This window comes from Homo sapiens, chromosome 10 (genome assembly GCF_000001405.40).
Source record: "Homo sapiens chromosome 10, GRCh38.p14 Primary Assembly".
In the NCBI taxonomy this organism is placed as follows: Eukaryota; Metazoa; Chordata; class Mammalia; order Primates; family Hominidae; genus Homo; species Homo sapiens.
In genome coordinates, this window is record NC_000010.11 from 114,225,344 (window position 1) to 114,243,865 (window position 18,522).

The following is an 18,522-nucleotide window of genomic DNA, read 5'->3' on the forward strand; positions in this document are numbered from 1 at the left end:
ATCTTAACTCCTGCTTTTGAATGAGCAGCACCAATCGTTGAGACTTCAGGGGTTGGGGATTTGTGATGCAAGCTGGGATGCTTCTTGGCTTCCCCACTGCCAACTTTGGTTGAGCTACCATGGCTCTACTAAATCATTTTCATTCAGGCATCTGCTTTCCAGCTTCCAATATTCTGTTGTCTTTTCTCTTGTTCTCTACTCTATTCTACGCATTTAAAAAAAAAAAAAAAATCTGGCCGGGTACAGTGGCTCACGCCTGTAATCCCATCACTTTCGGAGGCTGAGGCAGTAGGATAGCTTGAATTCAGGAGTTCAAGACCAGCCTTGGCAGCATGGCAAGACTATCTCTACCAAGAATAAAAAGTTAGCTGGGCATGGTGGTGTATACCTGTATTCCCAGCTACTCAAGAAGCTGAGGTGAGAGGATCACTTGAGTCTGGGAGGTGGAGGTTGCAGCGAGCCAAGATTGTGCCACTGCACTCCAGCCTGGGCTGCAGAGCCAGACCCTGTCTCAAAAAAAAAAAAAAAAATTCTATTACATTTTTCATAGGAATGTAGAGGTAAATGCTTGTATTTAATTTGAACTGTAACCAGAAATTTTGGCATGGATTTTTAAGTGATGTAAATATAACTATGAATAGCCATCTTAAAGTAGGAGGAATCACTGACTGTAAGTTCTTACCTGAGATTTCATTCTGTTTTCAGGTGATGATTTTTGGTATCGTGCAGTTGTTCTGGGGACATCAGACACTGATGTGGAAGTGCTCTATGCAGACTATGGAAACATTGAAACCCTGCCTCTTTGCAGAGTGCAACCAATCACCTCTAGCCACCTGGCGCTTCCTTTCCAAATTATTAGATGTTCACTTGAAGGTAGACAGCTAAGTCACTTTCCAATTTAGGTTTCTGGGTATTTTTTTTTTCCTCTTTATGTTTCATAGCTCTAAGTCGGAATCAAATGGGTATTTCCAGTAACTGCCTTAATGTTTTTAAATATTAAGAGTTTTCAAATAAGTTTCATATTCTTTATTCTTTATCGAATTCTCACAAAAACTGTGTTCAGTCAGTCTTTGTTTTGTAGATTAGTTTCAGAGGGCCAGGGTTCAGAGATTCGGTTTTGCCCCTGGTTGCTAAGCTAGTAAGTGGCAAGGCCAGGATGTGAAACAGGGTGTCTGGTGTCTGTGAACCAGGGTGTCTGACCTCTCATTTGGGGTCTTTCTGCTTCGTCACATCTCTCTTTAGGGACTAAAGGCATTCACATGACACCATTTTTGGCTACCTTATGAAAGATAAATCTGCATATATTCAACTCCTTAGTTGGAATTTGAACAAAGTGAACAAAAATACTTAAAGTAGCTTTTTACTGTCGCTCCTGATGTCCTTATGCAGAGGACTTGCAGATAATACCATACCGATTGCTTCATGGTCCTCTTAGGTTTTGACTCAGAGTTGGAAAATTATCTTTGTTTCTCCTGTTGGAATATATGAAGGACAGATGTGTCTGTTTCGTGCCCTCTAGTCCAAGATTAGTGCTTGATGCCTTGTTAGGTGATCAATCAATATGTATTGAATAAATTTGTCTTTTGTAATGCAACAGCAGTAGTACATCAGAACACACCTAAATCCAGCTGAAGTCCAGTAAGCCTTTTGCTTATTATTCTTAGATAATTTATCTAAATTCTGTCTTTTTAAAAGGGACTAAAAGACTATAATATCTATTTTTTCCAGGATTAATGGAATTGAATGGAAGCTCTTCTCAATTAATAATAATGCTATTAAAAAATTTCATGTTGAATCAGAATGTAATGCTTTCTGTGAAAGGAATTACAAAGAATGTCCATACAGTGTCAGTTGAGAAATGTTCTGAGAATGGGACTGTCGATGTAGCTGATAAGCTAGTGACATTTGGTCTGGCAAAAAACATCACACCTCAAAGGCAGAGTGCTTTAAATACAGGTATTCTTTTCAAGTGTTATTAATAACAGATGTTAAGTGTGAGGAATAACAGATAATCAATTTAGTTGACTTGACCTTTTCTCACTTCCCATGCCATACTCTCTCCTCCTCCTCCACAAATCCAGTGGCAGGGTTCTGATTCCTGTGGCTGCCTGGGAGGGCCGCCTTGATGGAGGCAGTCCTCCGAGTCCAGATAGTCCTTAGATCAGACTTGTCAGCACTGCTGTGGGAATTGACACCAAGAGCTTTGAAAATGCCAGGCATTCTGCGTGCTTCTTATTTCCAATTTACTTTCTATCCTGATCAAACTGAGAAGTCATATTTTTGAGATTCCATCTTCCTGGTACTTCATAAGATGTATATTTGACAGACCTGGCCTCAATCAAAAAGAGAGATGATTGACAACCAAAACCTTGGAGACATGGGTTGTTAATGTGGTCAAATCCAGACCATGGTAGTAGATAATCTCAAAGCCCAAATGGATCCATCCAGGTCTTTGTAGTCGGAACCCATGCGCAAGGGGGAGAGCTATCTGTATATGTTTACACTCCCAAGTTTTTCTTCTTTACATTATGTGTTATCTAATGGCTTATTTTTCTTGTGCTTTTAGAAAAGATGTATAGGATGAATTGCTGCTGCACAGAGTTACAGAAACAAGTAGGTAAAATTTCCTTTAAGTGAAATTATACTCCTAACGTTTTTAGAAATTAAATCATATGGTTTCTTTTTCACCCACAGGTTGAAAAACATGAACATATTCTTCTCTTCCTCTTAAACAATTCAACCAATCAAAATAAATTTATTGAAATGAAAAAACTGTTAAAAAGTTAAGTAAGTTAAATCGTATGTTTTCGCCTCTTCTGTGATCACCAATAGGACATCTTCAGGCATATTGGCAGGATAGAGCTAATGGAGTGAAACCTATTGTAAGGCTGTACTTTCGTGATTTAATGACCTGAGGTTTGGTCATAATGCTTCTGCTGTTTTTGTAGGTTTATCTGATCGTTTTCCTTTGCTACTGCTAATGGAACTGAACCCCCAGGGGTATTCCAGTTGTAATAGCCTTTCCTTACTGTTGTTTGGTTCTGTGAATGCCTATGTTATTGATATGTGGAGGGACTTGTAAAACTTGTTGTGACATAAAGCTTAGCCTCAGATTTTTTGTCTAGATCTGAAATTAACTCAGAGCTCACTTATGCACATTGCTGTAAATATGTTTAGCACTTTTTGCGAGGGGTATCTAAAGGGCCAAGAACGGAAAGTGGATCTAAAGGGCCAAGAACGGAAAGTGGGCTGCACTGAGGGTATTTTTCATTTAAAAACAAAACATACTCCCTGCTTTTGGCTGTGGTGATTCTAGTGTCTAAAGAACATACTGGTGAGTTTTAAACCAGTGTTCCTCCCCACCCCACCCCCATATTTTAAATGTCTGGGATCCTTTGTTGTAAGATGGTTCTCAGAAATAAATTTTTGATTAAGAGCCAATTAGAACTTCTGATCAGGGCTGGGGGTGGTGGCTCACGCCTGTAATCCCAGCACTTTGGGAGGCTGAGGCGGGCAGATCACCTGAGCCCAGGCGTTCGAAGTCAGCCTGGCCAAGATGGCGAAACACTGCCTCTACTTAAAATACAAAATTAGCTGGGCATGGTGGTGCACACCTGTTAACCCAGCTACTTGGGAGGCTGAGACAGGAGAATCGCTTGAATCCAGGAGGCGGCGGTTGCAGTGAGCCAAGACTGCTATTATACTCCAGCCTGGGTGACAGAGTGAGAGTTTGTCTCAAAAACAAAACAAAACAAAACAAAAAAAAAAACAACCTCTAATCTCAGAATAAAGTTGTCTCTCCTCACCACTTTGAGTTGTTACAGTTCCAGCCAAAAGCAAAGGAACTTTGATTTACTTAATATGTGCACTTTTGTTGGTTAACAAATTTATATTAAACTGTTTGGAAATAGTTCAAGAGGTGGCTATAATACTCTTCATGAATCTTTTATGGGTGTAGTAACTCTCAAGTAGGAACCAACTGCCAACTGTGTTAAAACATATCTTTCATGTGGTAATAGACCGTTTCTTTGCGTTTTAAGAAAGGTCAATTGAATTATAAGCTAAATGTAATTAATGCAAGATCAACTATCTTGACTCTCATGTTTCCTTTTACAAATTTTGGGTTATTACAACTTTCAGTCCTTTCTAATACATTGTCTTAATACTGACTGTTTTGTATGTTTAAGCTTAAAATCTTTTAATCTTTTTTTTTTTTTTTTTTGGAGACGGAGTCTTGCTCTGTCACCCAGGCTGGAGTGCAATGGCGTGATCTCGGCTCACTGCAAGCTCCACCTCCCAGGTTCACGCAATTCTCCCACATCAGCCTCCCAAGTAGCTGGGACTACAGGCGCACACTGCCACACCCGGCTAATCTTAAACTTAATGGTGATTTTAATTTCATAGATCAAGGAACATGCAATGACATGGATTTCTGGAATTTAGTCCTAGTATCAAGTCACTATATATATATATATTTTTTTTTTATTTTTTATTTTTATTTTTTTTTGAGACAGTCTCGCTCTGTTGTCCAGGCTGGAGTGCAGTGGCGCTATCTCAGCTCACTACAACCTCCGCCTCCCGGGTTCATGCCATTCTCCTGCCTCAGCTTCCCAAGTAGCTGGGACTATAGGTGCCCGCCACCACACCCAGCTAATCTTTTTGTATTTTTAGTAGAGACAGGGTTTCACCGTGTTAGCCAGGATGGTCTCGATCTCCTGACCTCGTGATCTGCCCTCCTCGGCCTCCCAAAGTGCTGGGATTACAGGCGTGAGCCACTGCGCCCGGCCACCAAGTCATTACATTTTTAACCAAGTTGGTTGGCCTGTATGTTCTTCTTATCTGTGTAACAGGCATTTTTCCTAAGGATATTGAGTGTGCTTACACATAAAACTTAAAGTGAAATTTCATTGTTTCTTGATAGATTTAAGACAGGGCTTAGTAGCTTTCAAAAGAAAACTTGATTTAAAGCATAGTAGTTGAACTGGATTTTTCCTGACTGTGGGAATAAATAGATATTTTATTTACATTTGAATACAGTGCAATACCTTGTGTTTGGGTAGTACGTATTTACAAAGCATTTTTACATCTACTCACATACTTAATCTTCACAATGCCCTTGAAAAGAAAGTAGGACCCATTTTACAGTTAAGGAAGCTGAGGCTCAGAGAGGGTTACATGACTGTCCAAAATCACATACAGGCTGAAACACTAGGTCTTACGACTTAAAACAGTTGTGTCAACTTCCCTGAGCTGCTACGTGTACAGTATCCTTTTAGATCAGATCAGTTACATAGGGCATGAAACTAGAGGGTTACATTATTAGGAAAAAATAATGTACATGATTGCTTAAGCATTACTTCATTGTGGTGAAAATAGAGCTGAATATTTACTCCTTTAAATTATTCTTTGAGATAGAATGGGTGTAAAAATGTATTTTGGCTGGGCATGGTGGCTCAGGCCTGTAATCCCAGCACTTTTGGGAGGCTGAGGAGGGCAGGTCACATGAGGCCCAGGAGTTTGAGACCATCCTGGCCAACATGGTGAAACTTTGTCTCTACCAAAAAAAATATAGAATTAGCCAGGTGAGGTGGCGTGCACCTGTAGTCCCAGCTACTGGGGAGGCTGAGGCAGGAGAATTGCTTGAACCCAGGAGCCGAAGGTTGCAGTGAGCCGAGATGGCACCACTGCACTCCAGCTTGGGCAACAGAGTGAGACCCTGTCTCAAAAAAATAAAATAAAAGACAAACACATGTATTTCATCATCTGGAGAAATTTAATTGTTAGCAATTTAATTGTAAAATTGCTAAAACAGAAGTGCTGTGGTGATATGAACATAAAACCCTCTGTAATCTGTTGCTCAGGTGATGTTTCAACACACAAGTTAATGTCAGATATCTTTTATATATAAGGAGAGTGCAAACAACTATATGTTATATTTGTGAAGGGGAGTATAAACAGCTGTACTTAGCATATATTATGCTATGTTATGGTGGTCATTAATTTTCTTAACTGACAGGTCTGGCTTAAATGCGTAATTTCAGTTAAAAGTGAATATTTTGTTTGCTTGTATTTGAAATTAAAAGCCATAGCAATTGAGTTTTTGTGTAAGGCATAATGATAGTTGATTTTTTTTCTTTTTCAGAAACAGCATCTCTTGGAGGTAAACCCTTATGAGACAGGAAACAGCAAAGGCTAGCTTTAGGAGAGAAAGTACAGCACCTGGTGTTTTTATTTATGAGAACCTTTTCTTTGTCCACTTTCTCTGTAATGACCTTCTATCCCTCCGTTTTTGCCTGCCTGCCATTCTCCTATTAGGTTGGTGGTTTTTATTTTCCTCTAAGTTCCTTCCACCAAATAAATATTACGTAAAAAATTCATACCAAATCAATGAGAATACTGGCAAGGAATACATAGGGACTTTCTGCTATATATGTAACTTTTTATTACTTAAAGGTACCGAAGGAAGGCCAGGTGCAGTGGCTCACGCCCAGCACTTTGGGAGGCTGAGGTGGGAGGATCCCTTGAGGCCAGGAGTTCAAGGTTACAGTGAGCTATGATAGTGCCACTGCACTCCAGCCTGGGTGACAGATTTTGTCTTAAAAAAAAAAAAAAAAAAGTTGATATGAGTTTTATTTTCTGTCCGTTTGAAATATTTTGTAATATTCCCTGCATTCTCTGTCGTCTGCCTCTTCCACATAATGTCCTTTGCTTTCATGTTTGTTATCTTCTTTTTCTGTTCACTCAGAGGTCATCAATTTCTTTCTCTCCGTCCTTAATTGGATTATTTTTCTTTTGGCCTTTGGGCACAGAGTCTGACCTCTGGACCACTCTAACTGGAGAAGGAACTTTATGTTCCCTCTCCTGCTGTGTCCACAACCTTAGAAATCTGTAGCTAGATTTTTGTTGTTATAGATAGAATTTACTGTTTCTGAAACCCAAATACAGTTATCAGTTTAAGGTTAAAAAAAAAAAAAAAACGAAGAGTGTATATTTTTCCTGAAGCATGAAAATAATCTCAAATTCTCCTAAACCACGCATATGCAGAATTATGGGCTGGCTGACTTTCCTGCCAACCCCAAAGTTTGAATTTTTTTCATGATTTAACTGTCAGACTATGAAACCTAAGATGTTTCTCACCAACTCAGCAGATACTTGAAAGACTTTTTTTTTTTTTTTTTTTTTTTTTGCTTTTACTGGCAATGTACGTTGTCTAATCTGTTAAATGGGATATTTCCTCATGTAAAAAGTTGTTAAAACACTGATGTGCTTCTGTTAGATAAAAGCTCACGCTGCTTTGCCCAATAAAATTATTTCACTTCCCAACCAGCTTTCTCTTGTTTTCTTACTGCAGGCATTTTTGCCAATTTCCTTTTTTTTCTTGTACATACTGGGAGAATTAGAGGCTTAATGTGTTCATACTGTCTGCTTTATTGTTTGTAACCACAGAGGAAATACAAGAATATGCAATCACACAATTGCCGTTTTATTAAGGAAAATTAGGGAAACAAATCAAGGAACACAGAAAAATCAGGAGTCATTGTTTGGCTTCAAATTGTAACATTTTATCCTATGGTACTAGACATTTGAATAGGAACTGTTTTAATTAAATGGAATTTAATATTATTTGCTGATTCAGCTAATTTGCCTTGTTCTCCAAAAGAGACTAGTATCTATAGCACTAGCCTCACAAATAGAGATATAGGTTAAATGTCTCTTGGATTAATGAGACATACTGGATCATCAGGTCTTCCTTCTGAGTAGATTTAACATGTTTCCGATTTTGATTAATGTGCCAGCTGCATGTTTCATTCGTTCAATGAATATTTGAGCTCCAGCTATGAGTCTGACATTGAGGTATGTGCCAGATTTTTTATTTGGGCCAGCACAGCTCTATCATACCAGCTAATATGTTCTTCACATCCCCTCAAAATATCTGGTTTGGTCATAAATACAGTAGAGCTTCAGTCTTCAGATCCCCTCAGAATATCTGGTTTGGTTATAAGTACCATAGAGCTGAGACCGTATATCTGAACAAATGATTTAGTCTTGGGTGGAGGCCTTGTAAATATTAAGATAAATCTTACCCAGTTTGCCAGGGAGGAGATTTCTATCATAAGAACAGTGAACTCCTGGGGGTTGACAAGGGGATAAGGAGCATATTTGATACACTTCTTGTTTTGCTAAAATTCTTTTGCTGCAGCAGCTAGAAATGTAAAAGTCTCAAAATTGTGAACGAGGATTAACTACTATTCTGAAATTGATCTCTCTTGCTATGTAATAACAGCTCCGGAAACCAACACGTGAAGATCCTCACCAGCGGGACCCTAAGCTGCCAAATTCCCAGAGAGAAATTAAGTCATTGTGAGGCTCACTGCTGAGAGAGTGTCAGCCACGAGCAATAGATCACTAGTGTTACTAATAGGCTCCTCACCAACACAGCTGCCTGGAATTGGCAAGTCGAGCTCTTCTGGGATCAGCCAAAGAGGACACCTGGGCTCCTCCCCATGTAGGTGGTTTTGTGGCCCTACTTGCATCCAAACAGCCCTTAATACACACAAAATTGTCGGAGTGTTTTTTGCTTTTTCCAGATAAAGGGAATTGGAGGGTAACCTGTGGTTCTAAACATGCAGTTAAGAAAGAATGGTAGAATGGTTTTACTTGCCGGAATTAAGGTGGTGAAGTTCTGTTAGAAGTAAGGTTACTGCCCAGTCGCACAGGGTGAGAACTGCAGATGGCTCACCCAGAGAACCAACCATTAACGTTCTGGTATTGCCCTGGTCTACGCGCTGCAGTCTGATTTTCCTAGGAAAGTTCTTGCATTTTGGCTATAGTTTCAAGTAACCTAAAACTGGCTTCATTTAAGGTGTTAGCTAGCTGCCAAGCCTTAGCCATTTTTTCCATGCTTGCTTGCTTCCCTTATCACCCTGAGGGGATGCCATTTTTAACACCTTGTGGTGTTAACCTTTTGATGAAGAGGCCCCTATCTCCTGTGATGAGAACCTTCCAGGAAGTGAGACAGACTCTGATGCTTATTATAAGGCAGGAGCCTACTCTGCCTCCAGAGTATACCCAGATGCCTCTCTAAATGTGTTCCATGAATACTTAGTTAAGGCAGACATGTGATGACTAAAATTCATGATACTGGGAATTTGGAGAGGAGATGGAAATAACATGGAAGTATTGACAGTTTGAGGTAGAGCACTTAGAAAGTTTCATATGTTGGCTGAGTGGTTATTACACAAGCGTGTGCCTTTGTTCCATGTTTACTTGATTCGGCCAGAAAGCACATTTCCCAAAAGCAAATCCAATACAACTTTGCGCATAATTCTCACTGTCTTAAGTAGGAGCTGGGATGGATGCATTAACCCTTCAAACAATTGCTGCCTATTCCATACCTAAGTGGCTTTGGCTTGGAGATGGCAATATTTCTGCTCCTCATGTCCTGTGTCTCTCTCTGCCCCCAACTTTGTTCTCCTTGTTCTTGGCTCCACAGTTAAGAGACCACAGACCAAATTAGGCTCTGGCTTAATTTGCTGCTTGTTGAGCGCTTCTGAGTCAGGCTCTTTGTTTCCTCTAGGATGGTTTCTTTGCTGTTTAGTAGGTACTGTTTCGTGTTCTTTTATTTCTCAATAAGAGGGCTCTGGTTAGTGGCTGCTATGTGGCTTCTGGAAAATATACAACTCTTGGAGCTCTATTAAGCATCCTCCTTTTTGTCTGTTCCTTTCGTGTGTGCTTTACCTTTCATCATTTGAGGGACTGGATCAAAATATTAGTTGGGATTCTAGAGTTAGGAACTGTTGTACCCATCACCCTTTATAGGTCAGGAAACTGAGCAATCAAAAGTTAAGTTTCTTTTCTGTGTTACAAAGCCAGTAGGCAGGAGCCCCCTAATCTGAAGCCACAGTCACTTTACTACAATGGGTGCCTCTGGGTGATGCATGTCACCGAGTACGGATGTCTCCATTTATCCCTGAGTGAAATTCAGTCACCTCTGTGTTTACACTCTCAGTTTACACTAAGACTCTGTGTTTATACCTCTTGTGTTTACAACTGAGACACACGGGACAGCGCAACTTGAGAATTAACATCATAGAAGGTGTCAACTGAAGAATGAGAAAGTTCATGAATTTGGAAAGGAGAGCTTTATTTTTCATAAAGCGTGGCCACTGGCAGGGTAGCCATTGCTACAGTCTGGAAAGTGTAGCCTCCAGCCAGAAACCAGAAACACACTTCCAGGTTGGGAAAAATAAGACAGGAATTTATGCTGAGTGGAGTGGCCAAATACACAGTAAACTATAGGAGGAGTCATGAATATTTATGAAAGATGTACATGTGCAATTAAGCTTCATGACTCTTGATGGGTTACATGTACAAAAAAATGGTATTAGCATGATTCTGGGGTGGAGTTTTTGGCCCTCTTGGGTCAAAAGGTGAAGCAGAGGACACAACTCTCATGGTACATCTTCTATAGACTAGCCAGAGCCACTCCATGGTCCATTGTCTCTTAGGAAGGAATGCTGGTTGCTTGGTTTGTTGAAACCTTAAAAGGAAGGGGCAGCATCAAGTGGTTGGTTCATATCAATAGTAGAGGCCAGGTGCAGTGGCTCACACCTGCAGTCCCAGCACTGTGAGGATTCCTTGAGTTTGAGGAGTTCAAGACCAGCTTGGGCAACAGAGCAACACCTCATCTCTACCCAGAACAAAAAAACCACCAGTGCAATGGTACGTGGCTGTAATCCCAGCTACTCTGGAGGCTGAGGTAAGAGGACTGCTTGAGCCCAGGAGGTCAAGGCTGTGGTGAGCTATGATTGTGCCACTATACTTCAGCCTGGGGGATACAGTGAGACCCTCAAAGATAGCAGGGGTGGAGCAAGTCTTTCCCAAAGGGCTGGTTTCTGTTTAACCCTTAAGAAAGAAGGCTGGGTACTGTGGCTCATGCCTGTGACCCCAGCACTTTGGGAGGGTGAGATGGACAGATTGCTTGAGCCCAGGAGCTCAAGACCAGCCTGGGCAACACAAGGAAACCTCATCTCTACCAAAAAAAAAAAAAAAAAAAAAAAAAACCTGGTGTGGTGGCACGTACCTGTAGTTCTAACTACTCGGGAGGCTGAGATGGGAGGATTAATGGAGCCCAGGAGGTCGAGGCAGGTCTTGAGCCAAGGTCACACCACTGTACTCCAGGCTGGGCAACAGAGCAAGCCCCTTTCTCCAAAAAAAAAAAAAAAACTAATGGCTGATAGTGAAGGAGCAGGTATAACAAGCTGTTTCCCGTCTCCCTTCCAGTCATATATGGGAACTCCGCTTTTAAGATTTCTCTGGATAATTTAAGGTCAGGAGTTCGAGACCACCCTGGCCAACATGGTGAAACCCCATCTTTACTAAAAATACGAAAATTAGCCGGGCCTGGTGGTGGGCGCCTGTAATCCCAGTCACTTGGGAGGCTGAGGCATGAAAATCGTTTGAACCTGGGAGGCGGAGGTTGCAGTAAGCTGAGATCCAGCCACTGCACTCCAGCCTGGGCAGTAAAGCGAGACTCAGTCTCAAAAATATTTCTCTGGGGTCCCCTTGGACAAGAGGGGGTCCTTTCAGTCAGTGGAGGACATGGGGTTTTATTTCTGAGGGCATTTACTGTGTGCAAGTTACCAGGCATTGGGCTGCAAAGATGAATAAGGCAAGCTCCTGGGAAGCAAGAAGCTTACATGCCCCTTAGAATGATTGTAATTCATAATAACTTTATTTTTTAAATCCTTGTAAATCTTCACAAAGGAAGGGATGTCATGGATGACAAAAGTAGCTACCCAGCTTTCTGCATAAAAAGCCTCCACCCCTGCTGGTCACCCACTCAGCACTCAGCACTCACCAGGGCCTGCACCACCTGCCTTCCCTCCTGCCCAAGTGCACACCCCGGACAGACTGATTATACATTGATGTGAAGAAGTCTGAAGCAACAGGTATCTTCACTGTATTTATGCTTTCAGTTCTTCATAATCACAGAATGAAAATGTGAAATACCTCCCCCCCCCCCGCCCCCAATTAAAGACATGCCAAATACTTCAGGAACAACCAGGATTGAAATTTGGCTTCTCCAAGGTAAGCCTGATAAGGTCAAAGTATGCTGGTACCTGTTAAACAGCATAAGGGGTACAGGGAGAGGGTTGTCAAAGGTAGAATTTCCACTTTCTTGAGGACCTGGGGTCTGCCCTTGTTGGACATCTCTGGAGCAGCACAGGCCACTCACCCCATTTGACTATACAGCACTTAAAAATGTGGCGAGTCCAAATTGAGATGTGCTTGTGAGTATAGAATACAACAGGATTGGCCAGGCGTGGTGGCTCACGCCTATGATCCCAGCATTTTGGGAGGCTGAGGCGGGTGGATTACCTGAGGTCAGGAGTTTGAGACCAGCCTGGCCAACATGGCAAAACCCTGTCTTTACTAAAAATACAAAAATTAGCCGGGCATGGTGGTGTGCACCTGTGATCCCAGCTACTCGGGAGGCTGAGGCAGGAGAACCATTTGAACCTGGGAGGCAGAGGTTGCAGTGAGCCAAGATCATGCCATTGCACTCCAGCCTGGGCAACAGAGTGAGACTCTGTCTCAAACAAAAAAAAAAAAAAAAAAAACAAAAAAACAGGACTTTGAAGACAGCATAAAACATCTTTATTGATTACATGTTGAGATAATGTTCCGGATGTTTAGGTTAATACTGAAATCCAGCTTGCTGTTTCTTTTCACTTTTTATTAAATGTGACCACTAGAACATTTAAAATTACACACGTGGCTTGGTCAGTATTTCTCTGGGGCAATGCTGATCTAGAGGCAGAGACCATCCCTCCCCAGCAGTTAGACCTCAAGACTAACTGCTGTCCCCTGTGGGGATGATGTGGTGGTACATTATGTCTGCTGCTCTGGTGTGGCCCTGTTTTTATTTTTGGGTGCTCAGTAAATGTTACTGGGAGAAATGAATTACAGGAAAAATGAGTCCTTTCCTAGCCTCCTTCAATGAGGTTTGCAACATTAAAGTCACCACGGGCCACTTTCACTGGAAGCTGTCAGTGTCGGAGGTTTGGAAATTAACTGAGAACTACAGACAGGAAAGGTGTAAAGCAAATTATTTTCCTATCAGATTGACATTTACAAGAATAATGGGAAGGAGCATGGAAAAGAGGAAGCAGGTCAACCTTCCTTGAGGACAATTAGATAATAGGCATCAAAAGTCTTAAGTTGTATAAAACCTGTATCCTAGAAATTTACCTTTTCGTAGTTTATTCTAAGGAATTAATTGGACAAAAGCACAAAGACATCTAATTGTATTATTAAAATGGAAAGTTTAATATTCAACAATAGCAGATAGGTTAAGTACATTAGGACATTATGAAGTGGCTTAAAACGGACATTCAAAAAAAGGAAATGGAAAACCTGAGTAATGTACAGCTTGTATGGAATGAACTAAAAATATATAAATTTTTGCATAGGTAGAATGACATTGGAAGAACATACACCACAATGTTAACTGATTATCTCTGGGTGTTGGAAAATGATTGATTTATCAACTTTTTTACTGTTATTTCTTTTCTTTTTTTTTTTTTTGCAATGAACAGGCATGCTCTGGCAGTTTTTAAATGAAGTATGGAAATTATGGATTGTGCAGTCATAGTCAACGTTCATTGAGAGCTTACTTTATATAAAGCATCATGCTCAGCATTGTGCTTTGTGGCATTTGATTTTTTAAAAATCAAACGCCCTCCAATCTTAAGCAAGGATGATGGCCAAAAGGTCGGCTTATTACCCAACTGCAACAATAGGAGGGACAGGTAATTAAAAGGCAATTGCCATGACAAATAGAAAAGATGCCAAAGTCAACATTTTTTCAAGGAGCTATAAAGCCCGTGGAGGAGTCAGCTGACGGCACAGTGTTCGCGGCTGCACCGCTCGGAGGCTGGGTGACCCGCGTAGAAGTGAAGTACTTTTTTATTTGCAGACCTGGGCCGATGCCGCTTTAAAAAACGCGAGGGGCTCTATGCACCTCCCTGGCGGTAGTTCCTCCGACCTCAGCCGGGTCGGGTCGTGCCGCCCTCTCCCAGGAGAGACAAACAGGTGTCCCACGTGGCAGCCGCGCCCCGGGCGCCCCTCCTGTGATCCCGTAGCGCCCCCTGGCCCGAGCCGCGCCCGGGTCTGTGAGTAGAGCCGCCCGGGCACCGAGCGCTGGTCGCCGCTCTCCTTCCGGTGAGTCCCAGCCCCGAGTTGGCTCTGGCGCCCGGGTACCCGCCAGTGCCGGCTGCCGATGACCGATTCACGCTCCCGGTACTGGGGCCCCCTCTGCCCAGCCACCCCTACCCAGAGCACCCGGGCTGCGCGGCCCCGCCGAGGGTGCGGGCTTTGTTCGCATTGTCTGCGCGCACCTGAGCGCGGCCTTCCTGGCACGGCGGCGTCGGGGGAAGAGCGCACCTGGCGCGCGCCTCCCTCGTGGCCACTCGCGGTCCGTCCCGGGCGAGCTGGCGGGGTTTTGGGAGGGGTGCGGTCAGCAGGTAAGTGGGTAGGGGCTCCGGGTACAGGGGTGGAGGAGGGCATGTATTAAACCCAAGCTGCCCTCCTGGCACAGTAGCGGGGCCCCCTTCCCTGGCGGCCGCGGAAAGGGACTCGCCCTTTGAATAAAGGCTTTGGTGACATGCTCGCTTCCACCCCACACCCCACTACAGGACATACACAGGTGTTAAGGGGACTTGGGGCAGTTTTCCCAGGCAGAACGAGTGCCCCCAGCGAAGTGTCTGCAAGCAGAACCTGAGAGGGGCCGGCTGCCCCGAGAGTCCTCGCGCTTGGGCAGTGGGAAGTCCAGGGGTTTGTCGTTCTGGTGACTTCCCCCACCTGGCTCAGCCCTGCTTCCTGCATGTCTCCTTCCCTTCCAATAAGGCTAACAAAACTTTCCCTAGCTAAGCCGACCTTTCCCTCCCGCCTTGGGCCCTTGGCCACCTGCTGGGACGGTGAATGGGAGAGTCTCAGAATTGAACCTTGAAAACTTGCTGGGGGCACCAGACAGAAGAGAAGGGAGGAGGGCACCTTGCTGCTTGTGATTGTGGAATCAAGGGCTCCAGCTGAAGCTGAAAGGGGACTTAGCAATGGGGACCTCATGCCATGTGTTTGATGTCTTGGAGATTGGAATAATTAGAACGTGTACATTTTTCAAATTACAAGCTGCTTTAAGTAAAACCCCAGAACCTCTAAGTGTTTTATAAATTCAGTCCCAAAAATTCAAGGTCTCTTTTGCTGTTAAGGTGACACTATATTAAGAAATGTCGATTTATTGAAGAGTCAGAGAAGTGAAGAGGTCAGAAAGGTACCACTAGAGTTGGCAAAAGCCACAGGCATGAATTTGTAAATGCTGCTGGCTTTCAGCAGGCTGAAGCCATCCTCTCTTGTGACTGATGGGGGTTCAGAGCTCCTCAGGCCTTACTCTTCTTTTGTAAAATCCAGCCCAGAGCCATCTCCTAGTAGTGTAAGAATTTCTCAGACTAGGTCCCCAGGCAAATCCCAGGTTGGAGAAGAGGATTGCTTTCCTCATCATCTCTGGCTGAAAACCATCAGTGTATTTTCATTAAATCTGGTTTTTGGTCTACCGTACAGAGATTACAGCCAGTATTTCCCCTCTCTTCAATAGGCACAAGCCCCTGGGATATCCGAATCATAGTCAGAAGCCCATGTTTTTACAGATGAGGAAACTGAGACCCAGTTTTAGAGTGTTAGGTTCAAAGCAAAATTGAGCAGAAGGTACAGGTTTCCCATATACCTCCTGTCCCCGCCTATGCACAGACTCCCCCATTGTCAGCATCCCCCACTGCAGTGGTACATTTGTTCCAACTGATGAACCGACACTGGCACATCATTATGACCCAAAGTTCACAGTTTGCCCTGGGGTTTGCTCCTGTTGTACATTCTATGGCTTTGGACAAATGTAAAATGACATAAATCTGCCATTATAGTATCAAACAGCATAGTTTCACTACCGTAAAAATCTTCTGTGCATCCCACCCTCCCTACAACACATGGTAATCACTGATCTTTCTACTGTCTCAATAGTTTTACCTTTTCCAGAATGTCTTATGATTGGAATCATGTAGTACGTAGCTTTCTCAGATTGGTGTCTTTCGCTCGGTAATATACACTGACATTTCCCCTCCTGGCTTTTTAATGAGCATCATAAAAACAGAATAGTTATTTGGCAGTGACGGCATCATAAGCTTGTGGTGAAAATGCCTTTTTTGTTAATAACTCCCCTGATGTGTGTGCATCTTACAAAGCATTGTCCTCACATCCTCAGTACCTGGAAGGGTACCGGGCACAGGGCAGATGCTTAATAATTTTTACTGGGTAAATGAAATTTCATGTAATTATAGCAATGAGAGGGTCAGCAACACTACGAGGTTGTTTTAGAACAGTGGTCCTCAAACTTTTGCAGTGCATATATCAGTAAATGAAAACCTAGTTTAATTGGGAGGCCTGCAATAGAATTGCTCATTTTTAATTTTATCCAATAAGGCTATTTTAAAACAAATCCCACCCCCCTCCCTATCATCAAGGAGGCTATTGGAAGTCTGTTGGTGATTGTGTGTGTGCATTCCCTGCAAAATGTTTCTGTATAACCCCAAGGCAGCACAGTGGGACAGCTGAATGTATTTGAAGTCCCTTCCTTTGTGTGACCTTTCGTCTTCTAAACAGCTCTGGACTGCTTAATTTTCCTCTTCCACCTACCACATTAGCTGCTGACTTTCCTTGAATGTGATTACTACCCTCGGTCCTCCCCTTCCTTTTCCTGATCATGAGTCTCTTCTCTTGAACTAGATTTCCCTGGTCTCAAATTAGGAAACTTTGCCCTTGCCCCGGGAGCCTTTGCATCGTGGTTTCATGGGGTCCTGGCGACAACCTTTCCAGGGAAATAGGATGGATGGTGTTACCTCCGTTTTAGAGAGAAGGAAATTGAGAGACTGAAGTGGAGGAATTTACCCAGGAGGCTCATGCTCAGGTATCCTGCCATCAGATGGTTGCTCTTTCCAGAGCATCTGTGTACCGCATGCCTCATAGTACCAGGTGCATCTGCATGCCGATGCCTCTGTGTACCACGTGCCTCTGTGTACCAGTGCCTCTGCATACCGCAGTGCCCCTGTGTACCAGTAAATCTGTGTATCAGTGCCTCTGCATACCAGTGCATCTGTGTACTGTGTGCCTCTGCGTACTGGTGCCTCTGTGTACCGCATGTCTCTGTGTACCACGTGCCTCTGTGTACCAGTGCATCTGTGTACCGCGTACTTCTGGTCATAGCTGAGAAGTCCTGGGCTGGACTCTAAGCTGGGTTTTTCTCGCTCTGTGGCCTTGGGTCTCGTCTTCTCCAAGATCATTTCTTCATCTATAAAGATGTAAATGATAATATCTACCCTACAGATTATGGGTGTTGTTAAATGAAATGAATATATTAAATGTAATGATAAACTTTTAACATCATTCATTTAGAAAACATTTTACTATTTAGCAGAGACTTTTCTACCCTGTCTCACTGGATCTTTACAACACTGGGGGAGTTTATGAAACAGATTCTCCCCATTTGGCAGATGAGGAACTAAGGCAGGGGAGGTTGTTGCTTGCAGTCACCCAGCTGCTAGGAGCAGAGCTAGGTTGGAATCCTGTCTCTGGACTTTGGGTCCTGTGTGTGTTCTCCCACACCTCAGGGCTAATCCCAGTGTCCCATACAGTGAAATCGGGTTGTGTACAATTTAAAGCATTTTCAGATATCATCCATCAAAACAAACATGAACTCTCTTCTGGCTAAAAATGTGTCTGCAGATGCAGAAAGTATGGGAGGGCTTGTGATCTATGCCCATCTTCCCAGCTTTTCTCCCTAACCCTCCAGGGAGTTCACAAATGGCATGTTGCTTATTTCTTGGTGCGGACTTTTGGTTGTTAGGCCACTGGGTTCTGAAAATTTACTAATTATTTTAGGGGGAGCGTGACTTTCCCCAGGCAGCTTTTTAAATGCTCTCTCTGCCATATCAAACTAGAAATGTGTCATCTACCTCCGTTGACACTCTGAGCCTGAGCCAAATATTTTACCAAAGGTTACAAGGAAGATGATTGTTCCAGCAAGGACTTCCCCACCGGATATTTTTACCTCTGATTTTAGTCTTCCCATTCAGGTGTGTACTGTTCTGGTAAAGGGCTCAGATTTCCATCCTGCTGATTTGGAGGAGGCTGCCAACGGCTAATCTATTTGGGGTTGGAATTGCATTTTGTAAGGAGGTAGAAATGGTTTCCTCTTTTTCCCTACACTCATTTCATTTCCGATGGTAGAGAAGGCAGACATTATCCTGCAAAACTGCCTTCAGCGATCCCCAATCCGGCTCTTCTTTTTTTAAAAAGTAGCTTTGTTTTGGCTTTTATTTCTTCCTGTGTCACGGAAAATGTAATTCCTGGGTAGTGCACAGTGGAAATTTTTGTGGCATCCTGCAGCAGACTTCACATGCCTGCTGTCCCAAG

The 18,522-nt window shown here is 43.0% G+C and overlaps 2 protein-coding genes across 30 annotated transcripts in view, besides 1 other annotated feature; both read left to right on the forward strand.

The window, feature by feature from the left end:
- TDRD1 (tudor domain containing 1) overlaps positions 1–7,323 on the forward strand; it is a 57,793-nt gene extending 50,470 nt beyond the window's left edge. For 10 of the 26 annotated variants that reach the window (XM_011539962.2, NM_198795.2, XM_011539964.3 and 7 more), the window contains 5 exons: positions 706–873; positions 1,729–1,956; positions 2,567–2,613; positions 2,695–2,782; positions 6,143–7,323. In XM_011539962.2, the coding sequence (XP_011538264.1) occupies positions 706–873; positions 1,729–1,956; positions 2,567–2,613; positions 2,695–2,782; positions 6,143–6,174 (563 nt within the window). In that variant the 3' untranslated portion in view covers positions 6,175–7,323. Of the gene's footprint in view, positions 1–705; positions 874–1,728; positions 1,957–2,566; positions 2,614–2,694 lie in introns of all 26 variants that reach the window. The other 16 variants (NM_001385367.1, XM_047425489.1, XM_047425488.1 and 13 more) reach the window with 7 other exon arrangements.
- Positions 13,822–14,530: an enhancer, noted in NCBI's record as "H3K4me1 hESC enhancer chr10:115998924-115999632 (GRCh37/hg19 assembly coordinates)". NCBI's record gives its function as "activates a minimal SCP1, AML or CMV promoter by ChIP-STARR-seq in primed H9 embryonic stem cells {active_cell/tissue: H9 hESC(primed)}" and the evidence as "EXISTENCE:reporter gene assay evidence [ECO:0000049][PMID:30033119]".
- Positions 13,911–18,522, forward strand: part of VWA2 (von Willebrand factor A domain containing 2) — a 55,247-nt gene continuing 50,635 nt past the window's right edge. For 2 of the 4 annotated variants that reach the window (XM_047425155.1, NM_001272046.2), the window contains exon 1: positions 13,911–14,226. Coding sequence is in view for 1 of the 4 variants with exons in the window: in XM_017016179.3 (XP_016871668.1) it covers positions 17,010–17,017 (8 nt within the window). In the remaining 3 variants the exon portion in view is untranslated. Of the gene's footprint in view, positions 14,227–14,270; positions 14,529–16,432; positions 17,018–18,522 lie in introns of those variants that run through there. The other 2 variants (NM_001320804.1, XM_017016179.3) reach the window with 2 other exon arrangements.